Below are 18,330 nucleotides of genomic sequence, written 5' to 3' on the forward strand. Positions count from 1 at the left end.
CAAGGCAGAAACCTTCAAAGAATCTTACCCTTAATAAAAAGGAGGACTGAAAAATCCACCTACCAGCAAAGAGAGATATCAAATTAAAGCACATCTGATTTGGTGTGAGTGAAGACAAATCCTGCTTCAGATTTTTTTTTAATGATCCAGTACCACTGAAGTATTTAAGGTCTAAATTATACTGCCTGAATGATACACAAATATCCAAGAAATTAGCACAGTGATTTTTTTACTGATAATAAATACCTTTTCAACCCTTGGGGTAGGAAAATACAAAATTACACTGAAAAAAAAATACCTTAAACCCAAGCACCAGAAGTTCTCCTACATAAGGCCCCCTGAAGAGGGCTTACAATCCAAAGTTACAAACCACATATAGGAAAATGAAGTTGAGTGCATATAATAAAAAGTTTGATGAAACCCCCAAGATTTTCAGATAATTGAACTATCTGATGGAGACTATCAAATAATTATGTTAAAAATTATTAAAGGTATAAAGGAAAGAACTTTAGAAACAATGAACCACTATGACAAAAGGACACACAGATTTGAAAGAAGACCAAATAAAATGTCTAAAACTAAAAAACATAGCAGTTGGAATCAAATACTCAGTGGAAAAATTAAGCAGGTTATTAGAAATACTGGGGAAAAAAAACTAGTGAATTGAGAAAAGAATAAACCCCCACAGCTCCAGACTCCAGGATGACCCTTACAACCTCAGGTTCCAGGCCTGCCCCAGTGCCAGTCCAGACATGCAGCCCCAGACTGCAAGCCTACCCCCAGTGACCCAGACTCTAGGACCATCCCAATAATCAGTCCAGTCCCCACAGACCCAGGCCCCAGACCTATCCCCATGAACCCAGTCAACAAGGGTGTTCCAGTAGATCCTAACCACAGACTGATTCTCATGGCCCCAGGATCCAGACATACCCTCACTAAGTCCACTACCATGGACTTAGACACCAAGGCCTGCCCATGTGGATCTAAGATCTAGTGTATACAGCCTCCAGGCTAATCTTCATGGACCCAGGAACTGGGCCTGAATGTGCACTGAAACTACCACCAGGCCATCATGCCCCAAGACTCCAGCAGCATTCCTGCCAGTGGACAATGCCAGCTGGGCTGCCAAGAATCTCTGACCAAGCTTACTGCTGAAGAGGTTTTCCTGTTGAAGCCAGCCTATAAAGACCAAAAGGTGTACTACTTCAAACGCACAAACACTAATGTAAGGCCACAAGGATCATGAATAATCAAAAAAATGACACCACCAAAGGAACAAAACAAAGCACCAGTAACCATCCCTAAAAAAATGGAGATCTACAAAGTAACAACTGGAGAAAGCAAGAAATTACAGGCTTCTGAAACAAATGCACAAACAAACTGGACACCTGGAGCGGTTAGCAACAACGTCCTAAAATCTCTAGCCAAGATGTCTGGTGAAGATTTTGCCCAGTCAAAGCCAGTCCATAAACATGGAGGAGGGGGGATGCTGTTTCTTCAAATGTACAGACATTTATGCAAAGCTATAATAAACATGAAGAATCAGGAACACACAAAAGAATAAAAAGAATAAAATAAATCCCTAAAAATCCAACCTAAATGGAGATCTATGAATTGCTGACAAAGAATTCAAAACAATGATCTTAAAAAAAAGTTTAGTGAGCTACAAGAGAACAACTAAACAAAGTGAGAAAAATAATACATGAACAAAAGGGGAAGTTCAACAAGGAAATAAAAACCATAAAAAAGAACCACATAGAAATTCTGGAATTGAAGAACAAAATGGCTGGACTGAAAAAATTCCATGGAAAGTATAAATGCAATCAAGGGGAAGAATCAGTGAGCTCAAAGACAGGTCACTTGAAATTACTCATTTAGAGGAACAAAAATGAAAAACAAATGAAAAGAATGAAGAATGCCTACAGCACTTGTAGGACATCGGCAAGCTTACCAATATACACATTATGGGAGTTACAGAAGGAGCAGAGAAAGAGAAACAGAAAGCTTATTTAAAGAAACAATGACAGAAAGCTTTTAAATCTGGAGAGGAAAACGAACAACTAGATTCATTAAGCCCAAAGAACCCCAAGTAGATCAAATATAAAGAGATCTTCACCAATGCACATTATAATGAAATTCTCAAAAGTCAAAGAGAGAATTTTGAATGCAGCAAAACAAAAGTAACTTGTCACATATAATGAAACCCTCATGAGACTATGAGCAGATTTCTCAGCAAAAACCTTGCAGACCAGAAGAGAGTGGTGTGATATAACCAAAGTGCTAAAAGAAAAAAAAAAAACTAAAAACCACCAACCAGAAATACTGTATCCAGCAAGGCTGCCTTTCAGAAATGGAGAGATAACAGACTGCCACACAAATAAAAGCTGTGGGAGTTTATCGTCACTACTTGCCTTACAAGAAATGCTAAAGGGTGTTCTTCAAGTTGAAACAAAAGGATGCTAACTAACCACACAAAAATATATAAAAGTGTAAAACTCACTGAAAAGAATATAGTCAAATTCAGAATAATACTGTAATAATGGTGCATAAATCACCTTTAACTCTAAAATTAGTTAATGTACAAAATTATTTTAAAAAACTATAGCTATAATAACTGATTAATAGATATACAATACTAAAAAATATTAAATTGTGACATAAATAACATAAAATGTGGGGACAAGATAAGTTAAAATTAAGAGTTTTTATATGTAGTTGAAGTTAAACTATTGCCAGCTTAAAATAAGATGTTGTCAGCCTTAAGATAAACATATAACTACAAGATGTTTTATGTAAGCCTCATAGTAACCACAAAGAAAAAACTTCTAGTAAGTATTCAGAAGATAAAGAGAAAGGAATACCTAGCATTACAAAATATTATCACATCACAAAGGAAGACAGAAAGAAACAATTTTTTTAAAAAGTTGTAAAACAATTAACAAAATGGCAGTAAGTCTGTATCTATTAATAATTACTTTAAATATAAATGAAATAAGTTCACCAATCAAAAGACAGAGTGGCTGAATAGAAAAACCAAACCCAACTATATGCTGCCAACAGGAGACATACTTTAGCTTTGAGAACATACACAGGTTGAAAGTGAGAAATGGAAAAAGGTATTCTATGCAAATGGAAATTGAAAAAGAGCAGGGATACCTATAGTTACATCAGATAAAATATATATAAGTCAAAAACTGTAACAAGAGATAAAGAAAGTTATTACCTAATGAAAAATGTGTCAGTTCATCAAGATGATATAAATATCTTTATATTTGACAAGATTTAACATCCATCCATTCATCCATCATAAAAATTCTCAACAATGTAGGTATAGAAGGAAAGTACTGCAACATAATAAAGGCCATATATGACAAGCCCACAGCTAACATCATACTTAATGGTGAAAAACTGAAAGCTTTTCCTCTAAGGTCAGGAACAAGACAAGAATGCTCACTCTCAATAGTTTTTTTCAATATAGTACTGAAAGTCCTAGCCAGAGTAATTAGCAAAAAGAGGAAACAAAAGTCATTCAAATTAGAAACAAAGAAGTTAAAGTATCTCATGTAGAAAACCCTAAAAACCACCAAAAAAACAGAATTAACACGCTTGTAAAGTTGCAGGATAAAAAAATCAACATAAAAAATTAGTAACATTTCTATATACTAACAATGGACTATCCAAAAAAGAAGTCAATTCATAATAGCATCAAAAATTAAAATAAAATAGATAAGAATAAATCTTACCAAGGAGGTAAAAGAGCTGCATGTTGAAAACTATAAAACATTGATAAAAGAAATTGAAGACACAAACAAATGCAAAAATATCTTGTGTTCATGAATTGGAAGAACACAGGATATTTTTGGTTAAAAGTCCATAGTCCCCAAAGTTATCTACAGATTCAATGCAAACCCTTTTAAAATTCCAATGGCATTTTTTACAGAACTAGGAAAAATTCCTAAAATTTATATGGAACCACAAAAGACCTCAAATAGCCAAGACATTAGAAACAAAGCTGGAAGAATCACATTACCTAATTTCAAAATATGCTACAAACTATAGCAATCAAAACAGCATGGTATTAGCATAAAAACAAACATATAGTCCAATGGAACAGATCAGAGAACCCAGAAATCAATCTATGCATTTATGGTTAATTGATCTTCAATAAAGTTGCCAAAAACACACAGTATGGAAAGGACAGTCTTTTCAATAAATGGGGTTAGTAAATTAGATATCCACATGCAGAAGACTAAGTGGATCCTCATCTCACACCATATACAAATATGAACTCAAAATGAACTAAAGACTTAAATGTAAGATCTGAAACTGTAAAATTACCAGAAGAACACTTGGGGAAAAAGTTTCTGACATTGGTTTTGGCAAATTTTTTTAATGTGACCCCAAAATCAAAGGCAACACAAGCAAAAATAGACAATGGGATTACATCAAACTAAAAAGCTTCTGCATAGCAAAAGAAACTATAAACAAGGAGAAGACAACCTATGGAATGGGAGAAAATATTTGCAAACTATACATGAAATAAAGGGGTAATATTCAAAATTTATTAGGAATTCAACTCTATAGCATGAAAACAACCCCATTAAAAATCAGCAATGACCTGATAGACATTTCTCAAAAGACTACAAATGGCCAATAATATATGAAAAAATGTTCAACATCACTAATTATCAGGGAAATACAAATCAAAACCACAATGAGATATCATCTCACACCTGTTAGAATGGCTACTAAAAAACAAAAGATAAGAGTTGGCAAGTATGTGGAAAAAGGGAACCCTTGTACACTGTTGATGGGAATGTAAATTGGTACAGCCATTATGGAAAACAGTATGAAGGCTCCTCAAAAAATTAAAAATGGAACTACCATAGGATCTATCAATCCCATTAATATTTCAAAATACTAATGAAATTAGAATTTTGAAGACATATCTGCACTACTATGTTCATTGTACTATTATTTGCAATAGCCAAGATATGGAATCAACCTAAGTGTTCATTGACAAATAAATAAAGAAAATGTGTCATAAATATACAATGAAATATTATTCAACCTTAAAAAAGAAAACATTGTCATTTGTGACAACATGGGTTAACCTAGAGGACATTATGCTAAATATAATAAGCCAGGCACTTAAAGACAAATACAGCATAATCTCACTCATATGTGGGATATTAAAAAAGTCAAACTCACAGAAGTAGAGAGTGGAATGGTGGTTACCAGCAGCCAGGGCATGGGGAAAATGAGGAGATGTTGCTCAAAGGACACAACGTTTCACTTATGCAAGATGAGTAAGTTCTGAGGATCTAATATACAGCATGGTAACCACAGTTAATAATACTGTATTGTATACTGGAAATTTGCTTAGAGAGTAGACCTTAAATGCTCTCACCACACACACAAAAGATAACTTTGTAAGGTGATGATTAATCAGTTTGATTGTGGTAATCATTTCACAATACCTACATATATCAAAACATCAGATTATACGCCATATATACAATTTTTGTCAATGATAACTGAATAAAGTTAGAAAAAGGAAAAAAATAAACACAAAGAAAGTAGAAGAAAAGAAAGAATAAAGGTAAGATCAGAAATTAATGATCTAGAAAAAAGTTTAAGTGATTTATTAAATAGACTAAATAAAGATGTGGCATGAATGTTCAAGAAAAAGGAGAGAAGCCACAAAAAAATACTAGAAATGATAATACTCTAGAAATATAAATAATTTAGGATTATGCTCTAGGAATAGAATTAGAGATACAGTAGAGATTTAAAAATAATAAGGCCAGGTACAGTGGCTCATGCCTGTAATCCCAACACTTTGGGAGGCCAAGGCAGGCAGATCACGTGAGGCCAAGAGTTTGAGACCATCCTGCTCAAAATGGTGAAACCTTATCTCTACTAAAAATATAACATTTAGCCAGGTGTGGAGGCACACGCCTGTAATCCCAGCTGCTCAGGAGGCTGAAGCACAATAATCACTTGAACCAGGGAGGCAGAGGTTGCAGTGACCCGATATCATGCCACTGCCCTCCAGCCTGGGCGATAGAGAGAGACTCTGTCTCAAAAAATAAAATAAAATAAAAAATAAAATAAAAATTGATCAAATTGAAAAATTCAAAAGAAATGTAAAATTTTTTTAATAAAAGAAAGCTTTCCTGCACTAATTCAAGAAGAAAATATCTCATTAGACATGTAACCAATAAATAAATTGAATCAAAATATAAAATCTATCACAAAAGAAACACCAGATCCAGATGATTTTACTGGCAATGTCTACCAAAGATTCAAAGACCAGTTATAAACTGGTTCATGTTTTGAAGAGAGAAAACATTCTTCAACTGTTTTATGAGGTTAAGATAACCTTGATTCAAATTCAGATAACATAGCAGATGAAAAGAAAATTACAGGCCAATCTTATTCATGAATATTGATGCAAAAATCTCATGGTGATATTACAATCAAACCCATCAATGTATGAAAATATTTCTTAACCAAAGTAAGTTTAACATTTTTAAAAATCTGTTAATATATTTCCACACATTTATAGATTAATTCAGAAAAACCATGTGATTGTTTCAATAGATGCAGATAAATGATTAAATAATTTCCTGATAAAAATGCTTAACAAAATAAAATAGAGGGAATGTCCTTCATATAATAAGTCATTTCTACAAAAAAAAAAAAAACCTACAGAAAACATCATTTGTTAAAGGGAAATGATAGCTTTCCCCAAAGTCAGAAATATGAAGACATTTGGCAAAAGTTTTTAAAGGCTGATATACCACAAGTGGGTGAGAACATGGGACAAGGGGACTCTCATACATTGCTGGTGGAGAGTATGATATATTAGAAAGCAATTTGGCAACATCTTGCAAAATTGCAGTTGTGTGTGACCTACAACCTATTATTAATTCATGCCCTAGAGAAGTGCCACTCAAAGTGTGTGCCTCAGACCAGCTGCTATCCACAAATTGTTATCAGAAAATGGAGTATTTTGAGTAATGATGCCCTCAAGAAACTCTTATGTATATGAATGGGGAGACATTTACAAAAATATCACTGCAGAAGTTAGTAGCAACAAAAAAAAAGGAAATAACAAATATTTACTTTAGCTGGAAAATTGATAAATAAATTATGATATATTTATATAATGGAATACTATACAGCAGTTAAAATCAATAATCTAGCCCTAGATTCATTAACATTGATATATTTCAAAGAATAATACTGAATATAAAAGACAAACTTCAGGACAATATATACAAAATATTATTTACATGAAGACTAAGCACATGTAAAATCATGTCACATTTTAAGGATATCTGCATATCGAGTAAGTAAAGGTATGAAAACATACTTTTATATAACATATATAAAACATGGAATGAGAAACACAAACTCAGGATCTGAGAAGGAAAAGGTAAGACTTGGATTACAGCAGAACTATATGGAGGCTTCAACTATATATGTTAATTTTTTTTAATGTTGTTAGCAATTACAGAAAAAAAATATTGAGTTGGCTGGGTGCCATGGCCCATGCCTGTAATCTCAGCAATTTGGGAGGCTGAGGCAAGAGGATTGTTGAGCCCAGGAGTTCGAGACCAGCCTGGGCAACATAGGGAGACCCTGTTTCTACAAAAATAAGAAATTAATAATAATAATGTTAAGAATTGATATATCTTCATGATGGCTCCATGAGTATGCATTATAGTATTTTCTGTATTTTTTATTTACTTGAGAGCTTTCACAATAACTTTTGAAGTCATGATTTAGAGAGAATGGATCATAAAGGCTTCACTTTAGACATGAAGAAAGTAAACTATGGAGAAATTCAGAATCTTACTCAAGTTTACACAACTGGTCCTAGAAGCCATGTTCTGTGACCCCCAAACTCCCATACCACATTGACCACTATATGAGAGTCACAGAAGACCCTTAAGAGTCATCTCTCTAATATCTTTGACATCACCATGTAATAATCTTTTTCTCTTGGGAAAAAACAGAATTAACAAATTGTCAATTAAACAAGTTACACCAAGATCTGTAGACCTTTCTTCAGAAGACAATATATGCTAACGAAAAAGTAAATACAACTTCAGCATCCCTTGCTCACAGTCCCTTTGTTTGGAGATTTTGCTAGCTTGCTTTTCATGATTCTATTAAACAATAGACAAAACCAATGCCTAAGAATGTACAAGCATGGTGATAAATGTCCCTAGTGAACCTGTCTGAAATAAAGTAAGAAAGTTATGATTACATGTCAACAAGAGCCACAGTTTCTGACCCAGGGGAGGTAACAAAGGGGTCAGAACACCTCGGTCTTTGAAGCACACTTCCCCAAAGAGTTGGCTGTGGGATATATGCAAACCTTTCCAGGTCTGCTTCTGATATAAATTGTGAGTCACACCACTCTCAGAGATCCAGACTTCTCAGAACATAAAAATCTCTCTCAAAGGGAAGCCTGAAAGCATGACAAGAAATATCTGAATTATGCTTATATTTGGTTGAATAGGGCAATAAAAGCCCTTTGCACTCTGTCCTTTTGTTATCTCATGATTTAAAAATGTTTAAGACCCAGCCTAAGCAGAGGAGGCAGCTCTTGACCTACTATAAGGCAATGAGATTAGTTGCACTGGTTGAGGCACACTATTACCCTAGCAGTTGGGGAGCAGGGTGGGCATATAATACCTTTCTTCCAGAATCTTCTGGAATTTGATTCGCATCAGTTTGCCCTGTGCTCTGGCTTGGAACAATGTGAAGACTTTAGATAGTCTCTCATCTCTTATTGCTTCCAGTTGGCCCAGAAACCCAGCTTTAAAAAACACCTAAAGGAAAAGTCAGATGTTAGCTCCACTGATAATGGGTATTCAGCAAATGTTTATTAAATGATCCTGTGAGCAACTGTTGTGTTCCTAGGGATAACTGTATCAATTCCATTTCTTGTAAGTTTTATTTAATGTGTAAAATCTACTTCTTAGAAAGTTTGATTTTATAAATCTAAAATGTGAAAAAAAAAACGTTATTAAATCATGTGGTTCTATTGTTTGCCTAAGAACTTAAACTATTCTTCCCCTTATCTATTAATAATGTCTCAATTGTTTAGGGAACCTGGTTTAAGTTTTAAGATGGGCTCAGGCATGCAGTGTGCCAAAGTACCAGGTAGGGTTCTGCAAACATTTTCTGTGAAGGATCAGATAGTAAATATTTTTAGGCTTTATGGGCTATACACAATCTCTGTAGGATATTCTTGTTTTTTTAAACAATTCGTGAACCATCTAAAACCATTTTTAGCTAGTGGGCCATATATTAAAAAAACAGTCCATGGACATGGCTCTTGGGCCATAGTTTGCTGACCTCTGTTCTAGAGTAAGGCACTTTTGTCTAGGCATCAAATAATCCACAAAAGTATTTTTTCAAGAATGATTACTAACAAACAAGGTGAAATGAGTGAGGTGCCTAAAGCACACATTTTATGGAGGCACTAAGTGTGAGAGTGCCCTGAGAGTGTGTGCCTTTCAACCTCACTTGCCCAACCCTGAGAATGAGAGCCTCTTTGAAATTTGTGCCTTAGGAGTTTCACTTGCCTCAGGTCAATCTTGGCCCAGATGAATAGTATACAGTAAAAATAACTAAACACACAAGGAAGGAAGGCATCATCAGTGAAAATCAGCAGAAACAATAAACAGCAGAAACTGATTCTCAGGTACTCAAAATATGGGAGTCAACATTTTATAACCATATCCTACAGAGTTCTAATTCTATGAGGTCTTTATCCTGAATTTTTTAACTCTCCTTCAAATAATTTGTTCCTTATATGAATGTCATTAGGAACAAACTGATGTTGACTGCCAGATAACACCAAATCTATTGATAAGTTAGAAGTTTCCCAAAATATGTGAGTCATGCCAATATCATCTAAGATGAAGTAGAATTTAGGGAATCACATTTAAGGAAGTTGGTTTTGGATTAATTTTTTGATAGTGGGTTAACTTTAAAGTTTTAAATTACTCAGAAAAATTAGTCCCTAAGAGAATACTGTCCCTGAAAGAATATGGTGGATGAATCAGTTCACACACAGACAAGCCATTAGCTCCAGGAAGCTGATTCACTTTTTCTAGCTCTGATATATACACATTTTCTCATAACATCAGGTTGATTCAGTATTTTATATCTTGACACAAATTTGCTTAGTTGACTAATTATAAAAATGTAAATGTAGTCAAAACTGAGGTTTAAAAAACATTGAATATTTTTCTCAAACAGCACCGAAGTTTTCACCTTCAGCTAAGATCTGTTTGTGATATTTATGGTCATGAGAGCTGAAGAATGCCTTATAATTGAGCATTCACAGGTATTTTAAGATACACAGTCTTCCCCCCATTCGTCTCCAAATGCATTCTTTGCAGTTTTCTGGTTACCTTAGTGATTCCAAATCGGTACTGGGTATGGTCTATCTCCAAGGAGCCAAGTAATTCTTCAGCTGCTTTTCTGCTGCTCACAAACTTGCTCTTTGGAAAGGTCCTTGGATTCAGAATGCAGTACCTAATTTAAAATAAAGAAAAAATCATGAGTTTGGGAAATCATATTATTCAAATAAAGACTAATCTAGACAAATGAGGTGAAAGGAGACATAGATTTTTATCTCTGTTACTAATATGTTCAATTTTCACAAGATTCTTAGTAACAATAATGAGGGTACAAGCAATAATCCCTTGCATTGGTATAATAGTTTGTACTTTTCATATTGCTTTAGAGGCAACCTCATTTGATTGATTGCTCAATTAGGCAGGGGCAGGATTGGAAGAGGAAAGAGAGGGAGGGAGGAAAGCATAAGTATCTCTACTGTATAGATAAGGAAACTGAAAAGCAGAGACATTAAATGTCTTTTCCAGGATTCCTTTACCCTGTTGGTGAGTTGGTGGAAAACAAGAAATATGCCTCCTAATTCTAAAGCAAGAAATATGCCCCTTTTTACTCTACCAAACTTTGCTCAAATTGATTTGATGACCTATAATTTAAACTTCTAGAATCCAAGAAATAGAAAAGATGCCACTCCTGCCTCCTGCCATACACCCTGCTGGCTTCCTTCCTTTCAGGGGCTTGCTAGTAAAGCCACAGCCTGCTTGGATAGCAGCTACGATTAAGTATACACAACATTTCAGAGATTCAATTCAGCCTCCATATGTTTCTTCTGTATATATTTCTTCTATATGTGGGTCTATTATCTTTGTTAATAGAGATTTAAGGATATTACAGTTACATGGATGTTGGATTTAAGGGGAAATAATAATGGAACTCTGTCATCATATATCTTCCCACCACCAAAACACATCGATTTGTAGTCTGGAGGACATCAACCAAACAAACAATGCATGCCTAAACACTCGGAAAGGGAGGAAAACAGAATGAACTGCCTCAGGCTTCTTGGATCCTAGAATGTAGGTTTACCTTTGTTTAAAATCAGCATACTGCAGTCGGTTTGGAAAACCTTCACGGCATATCCTAGTCCCTTCCAAGACACCATTACAGCGCAACTGCTGTAGAACCAAGTAAGGGTCCAGTATACCTGGAAAAAAAAAAGAGTCATGGTGGATCTGTGCCTGAAAAAAAATTATTGGGACAGATTTTGAACCAATTGCTGCATCTTGGGTTAAAAAGAAAGTCTGAATTGGATAGTTTCCACATGATAGGTCATAGATGTTCACTCACTTATGGCCTGATAGTACTCACAGTAATCATCCTATTATGTAGGCATCTCCAAATATGATTTCCCTGAAATTCCTTTAACATGGAACAAGCCCCTTAATTCACAGTCAGATGAGATGTTTATAAGCAAATATTCTTGGAAGGCAAAAAGATTACATTTTTTGCTAGAATGTAAATGGCTGCTCTACGTTCATTTGCCAACCAAAACCAGCCAGAAAGGGTGATAAGAACACAAAAGAGAACTGCCTTCTCCGTGCAGGAGGGGGAAGGGATAAGAACAAGGAAGAATAAAAGGAAAGGGGAAGATAGACACAACCACAACATTCTGTTTACAGTTTTGCTTAGGAAGGACCTGTCCACATCCCAGACTTCATTCTCCCCTTATTTTCATGAGAGTGCCTAAATTCTATTCTGTAGTATAAGCATCCTTCTGTCACCTTCTCGTTCATCAAAAGAAGCTCTACTGCAGCTGTCAGCTGCAACGTCCAATAGAAGCCTTTGAAAAACCATCCAAGAAGCCACTGTCCCTGCCCTCAGCAAGTCTTCTGAAAGAAGCCAAGGACCACATCTCCTAACACAAATTCCTACTATGGTATTACATGAAAAATAAAAAAAAAAAAGGACTCCATGCCCAAGGTCACAGAAATAAACTTAAATCATATACCCATATTTCTATACTCGAATCCCTTTCACAGATAGAAACAGATGATGTATAAGAAGGCACAAGTAGGCTGGCACAGCGGCTCATGCCTGTAATCACGGCACTTTCAGAGGCTGAGGCGGGCAGGTCACTTGAGGCCAGGAGTTCGAGACCAGCCTGACCAACTTGGTGAAACCCCATCTCTACTAAAAATATAAAAATTAGCCAGGCGTGGTGGTACATGCCTGTAGTCCCAGCTACACAGGAGGCTGAGGTACAAGAATTGCTTGAACCCAGAAGGCAGAGATTGTGGTGAGCCAAGATCATACCACTGCACTTCAGCCACTGCACTCTAGTCTCAGCAACAGAGCAAGACTCTGTCTCAAATTATTTTTTTTAAAAAAGGGAGGGGTACAGGGAGTAGAATCCTATGACACCTTAACATCAGACTCACTCATTCTCTTTAAGTACATATGAATAACTGTTTTGATTAGATCATGAAGCTTTTCTTATGACTTTGTCTTATGACTTTAAGAAAAAAACCAAACCTGCTGAAATCCAAGTTGACTCGATGGGAAGCAACTCTAATAGGTAACAGAATTGCTCCAAAATAGAACTCAGCTAATTAGATTCCTTGATAGATGGAAGCAGTGTCCCTAGACACATCCAGAAACCCAGCTGATAGGAAACAATGAGGCACAAACATACAGCCGTGAATGAACATGAAAGTATTTGTATCGCAGAAACTCAAACTGCAGCATCATTGTTTTGTATCACACTTTCCCAAAATAGGCCATAGACTGTCAGGATTGGGGTCTTAATTACAGGAGGTTAATAAAAATGCAAGCTACTATGGAACCTCAGAGATCAGAACCAGCAACATCTGGCTATGTATTATAAGGGTGGTTAGTGCTCTGAAGACATAGGGCTTGTCATATACATTCCTTGGAGGCTGACAGCCTCCAAACCAAGCTCCAGAGGGGCCAGTAACTCCAAAGAGGTGGCTGGGAATCTTCAAGCTCATGAAGTAAGGAAAGCAATCCATGTAGTTAATTTTGGTAAAACCCTTGTTTGGGGAATTGAAAACATTAAAAAAAAAAATCACTACCATCCACCTATCACATCATCCCCCTACCACTATTCACTGATCAAAAGATAGCCACTACCCAGAGTTACATAACTAAAAAAAAAAATGAATGCTATTAGAAAGAGGGAAGAAGATGTTGGCATTGGCAAGGAGGACTAGAGGGTGTTCTCAACAATTAGAAATGGATTTAGGAAGTGTCTTTATGGTCAATTTAGATAACTCAGACCAAATAACTTCCTTTATGCTGAAATATCTACCTTAATCCCCTAATTGATTATTCAATTCCATTTTTATTATAGTTTGTCCTTGTAGACAATGGCATGGGAGCTCACTCATGTTCAGCATAAAATTCAAGGAAGAATTTAAATAGTAATATCAAACATTCTAATGTTGCCCAATTGAGACCGCTTTGTGAAACCCTTCTGTACATCCATTTCAATGGCAATATTGAGGAGGTTCCAAAGACCTCATTTTTAACATATTTTCATTTTTCTATATGAAATTCTACCCTTATATAAAAGGCACCAATAAATATTTCTTTAAAAGATATTCAATATAGCTAATATCAAATCTATTTCCTAGTGTGAATTACAAAGAAATCTAGTTCTTACCTGGTATTTTGTTCACATTGGGATTTATGCATCTCACAAAATGAGGTGCTGTTGATTTCAGATTAGTCATCAATTTATTCAGGTTTTCCTAAAATGGAGACCATAATAAACACAAAATCACTTTGCAAATCACTAAAAACACCAATCCACCTCACAAATGTCTCCAAATCTATCAACTTAATCTCACAGCCAAGATGTATTCTAACAGTAAAATAATGAATTCAACATTCTTTACTGCCTACCAAATGCACATTATTTCTTTCCTATGGCAAGTCAATATTTATTTGACAGACATAGTTAAATTGTGAATCATCTCTACCTATTTTGAATTTGATAGCAATATCAAAGTTATGGCTGGGCTATAAAATGGCTTGAAAAAAGAAATTGTTTCTCAAGTTCTCTCTCTGTGGAAAACCTTTATCTTAGGTCAGATTCTCTAGAAGCCAAACCTGAGATGGGAATTCTGGTTCAAGAGATTTTTAGGGAGTGAAGAAAGCTGGGAACAGCAGGGGAAGAGAAAAGCAATGATTCAGACTCAGCTTTAGTCTGATCCTTGCAAGCAAGAGCTGTAAACACGAATGCACCAATTGCAGCATAGGTGGTCTCCCTTGAGGCAAGGGAGAGGCTAAAGTCTGGAGAGGAGGGCAAAGAGGCAGCTTAGTTTCCCCTTTGGCTAAGTGCAATTCTGACAACTCAGAGTTGTTATGAGCCAATATGCACATCAGCTGGAAGATGGGTGCAGGCATGATAAAGGGGATGTAAGTGGGAACAAACAGTGTCCTCTAAAGCCCTTGATAATAACAGCATAAACTTCAACTTTTCCAACTTGCTAGCTCCTGATACTTTATCCTTATTTGAAGATGTGAAATGTCAACTAAATAATAACATATGCAGATTGTGAGGCAATTAATATATGAATAGACGCAATTAAAAATTACTTTATGCAGAGATGCAACCGTTTGGAATGAAGCTCCTTTCTTTCGTTTCTTCTCCCCAAATGGTATAGCTAGCAAAAAAAAAAAAAGAAAAAGATGAAAACATGTAAAAAGCTCATTTTTATCACATTATCCTACCCCACTGATGGAAGCATAAATTCACCAGAGTTCTAGAACAATATGGCAATATCTACCAAAAGCTTCAAAATATTTATGTCTTTTATCACAAAATGTATATTTTTAGTGTTTTTCCTTAAGGATATAATCAGGCAACTGTGCAATGATACTCACTGAAGCATTATTTAGTCATTGCAAAAAAATTAAGCAAAAATAAAATTCATCAACAAATGCACATCATAGGAGATTAATTTATGAGAGAATATGCATACAGTGAAACACTGTAAGCTTTTAAAATGATGATGTGGATCCATATAACTTATATGGAAAGATTTCTAGGATGTTTTTAGATAAAAAGTTAGTTTACAAAGCCTAAATTTTATATATGATGACCCTGAGTATGTATACATGTTTTTTTAAGTGCAGCTGTGTTATAGGTGACTATAAACATGAAAAATGTTGGGAGGTGTAAATACCAAAATGTAAACAGTTTGTTAATCTATATGAGATTACAGATAATTTTTATGTTCTTCTTTCAGTTTTTCTATATTGTCTGTGTTTTTAGCAACATTCATGTATTTATTTTCATGATTTATAAAAAATAATAAGTCTATTTCCATTTTCTTGAAGAAAAAGAACCTGTGCTAGGCCAACCAGCTTTACAAACATTTGAATAGTGCTAAGTTACTAAGATGTGCAACACAGCAACAACAAAATCCATAGGCAAGCTGGACAGAATAGGGTAGCTGTCAATATGGAAAACTAATAAAATATTCTCTGCGCCTGAGTAGCAACTGTGCGATGGCAGATGTCATGAAGCTCAATCACTAATGTTCTTTTGAAACACCCCAGGTCTCTCAGTGAAACACTTGACTTCTTTGTACTTCAGTTTTTCCATCTATGAAAAGGGAATAACACTACCTTTCATTAATTTTTTAAAAAGAATTATAACCCTGGTTTAAATTATTTGGATTCCCCAGGAGAAAGTATGGTTATCACAAGCAATTTAATGTTCAGATCCGTCAGAAACTTGGAGGCAAGTATTTTCAGAGGGTGCTTAAAGAATTATTTAAAAAAAAGGCCATTCTGAACAATTCTTGTCTTTTAGTTCCAAAGAACACAGTACACAACCTGAAGAGTTAGAAGACGATTTCTCCTCTAATTCTCTGCCCAAACCATTCTCTGATCTCTTATGATCAGAGAATTACTCAAATGGGAGTCATAAGCTTATGTGGCTACTATCAAACAGACTTCTCAGAGGTACTTTAGCAGCTATTAGAATCAGGCAAATGTACTGCCTGAAGATTAGCCGGGTCCAGTCACAATAGCTTCCATCTCTTCTTGAGGCAGGCCCAGAGGATTTCAGGCATGTTCCAGAATTATGTCATCATGTGCTGATGAAGCCAGAAAGTGCTAAATTTTCTCTCCATTCCCTATGTCAGTCGAGAGAACCAATCAGCCTGATAGGGGCTGGGAGTTAACATGCAGCTGGGTGTAAGATAACAGCAGGGTATGTTCGAAAGTGAGAGTACACACCCCATTTAAAGAACAGTTGGTGTACTGTTGCCATGGGGAAATCAGAACCCAGGCTGGCTAGATTATCTATTTCCCCAGAATTTCCATTTTTCAAAAGAAAACGGAAACTCAAATGTGCATGTGAAATCTGATTTTTTTAGCTTGTGTGGACCAAACAAAACGTGTTTGAAGGCCAGTTTCTGCTCAGAGGCTGTCGATCTGTGACTTTTGCTGTAAATCATGGAGAGCTTCCCTCTGTATGTAGTTAGCATTTCGTTCAGTGAGGCTGGTGTTAACAACTTTGGCTCAGTATCTTCAAATCCATCACATGATGGTGCAGAAGTTTTCACTGCATCGTAAATGCATGTAGCCTGTCTGTCTCTGTTTTGTTCATTCCTGGGAGACAGTGAGTAGAATAGGCACTAAACTAGAAAACAGAAGTCTATCTTTCTACCTAGCCTTTTGCCATATAGTAGATTTGTAAAATCAGGGATGCTACTTAACTTCTCTATATTTGTTCCTGTGAGAAGTTAAGTAGGATCCCTGATTTTATAAATCTACGACATGGCAAAGGCTAGGTGGAAAGACAGGAACATTCTGTATATATCTTAAAGTGTCAGGTAAGAAATGAGTAAGATAATGTATCTAACAGTACTTTGTAAATTACAAACTACTAAACAAGATTAGTTGTCAGAATAGAATGCCTGTTAAACAGGTATTTGCTGCATGCTAGAGGCTACAGTTGAATAAATCAGACATAATCCCTGCCCTCGTGAAGCTTCTAATAACCCTAAGTGCACAGAGTGCTGTGAAAGAGAATATTCTAAGATATTTGGGGCAATAACTATAATTATATATATATAGTTATATAGATATTTGGGACAATAAGTTATTGCCCCAAAATCATTCATCAAAACATGTTTTTTGTTTTCCCTTTGTAGCTAGGTGAAGTAGAAGACAAAAGCAGGCCAGGAACAGACTTCTTGAATCTATCTTAGAGCACTAGTACCATCTCCCTGAAGAACCCCCAGCCTGAAGACAGAAAGACTAATAAGAGGGGACGACTCAGACCACAGGGAGCAGAAACATATCACAGGAAAGAAGCAAGAATTTTTGCAAAAGCTGAGGCAGCCATGGGTTCCATTCTGAGGCTGAAAAATCAAGGAAGATTGTATGACTCACCACTGTCAGTACTCATGTAATTTTCAAAAAGGCTCGCCAGGAGTCTGTTGGAAGACTTCTGAAATACAGCTACCACTGTTTCATTAAGGAGGTCTTTGTTCTTTTCCAGCCAACCACTGATATTATAAGGTACCTTTGGAAAGGCATGCATTTCAGGTTAAAAAAAGAAAAAAAACTGCATAAGTTAACATGGAAGGCTGTGCATTACCCCTTTTTTTTTTTGAGACAGGGTCTCATTCTGTTATCCAGGCTAGAATGCAGTGGCATAGTCACAGTTCACTGTAGCCTCGACCTCCTGGTCTCAATCAATCCTTCCCCCTCAGCCTCCAGAGTAGCTGGGACTATAGGCACATGCCACCATGCCTGGCTAATTTTTTTTGTATTTTTATTTATTTTGTGTATGTGTGGAGATTTGGTTTCCACATGTTGCTCGGTTTGGTCTCAAACTCCTAGGGCTCAAGCAATCCACCCATCTCAGCCTCCCAAAGTGCTGGGATTACAGGGAGCCACCAT

General features: G+C 35.8%; 1 protein-coding gene across 2 annotated transcripts in view; it reads right to left on the bottom strand.

The window, feature by feature from the left end:
• Positions 1–18,330, bottom strand: part of MYH15 (myosin heavy chain 15) — a 170,705-nt gene that overhangs the window by 64,926 nt on the left and 87,449 nt on the right. For both annotated transcript variants that reach the window (XM_011512559.3, NM_014981.3), the window contains 6 exons: positions 17,818–17,950; positions 15,007–15,074; positions 14,069–14,156; positions 11,473–11,590; positions 10,443–10,566; positions 8,713–8,849 (listed from right to left, as the gene is read on the bottom strand). In XM_011512559.3, coding sequence (XP_011510861.1) covers positions 8,713–8,849; positions 10,443–10,566; positions 11,473–11,590; positions 14,069–14,156; positions 15,007–15,074; positions 17,818–17,950 — 668 coding nt within the window. The remainder of the gene's footprint in view (positions 1–8,712; positions 8,850–10,442; positions 10,567–11,472; positions 11,591–14,068; positions 14,157–15,006; positions 15,075–17,817; positions 17,951–18,330) is intronic.

This window comes from Homo sapiens, chromosome 3 (assembly GCF_000001405.40).
Source record: "Homo sapiens chromosome 3, GRCh38.p14 Primary Assembly".
NCBI classification, from domain to species: domain Eukaryota; kingdom Metazoa; phylum Chordata; class Mammalia; order Primates; family Hominidae; genus Homo; species Homo sapiens.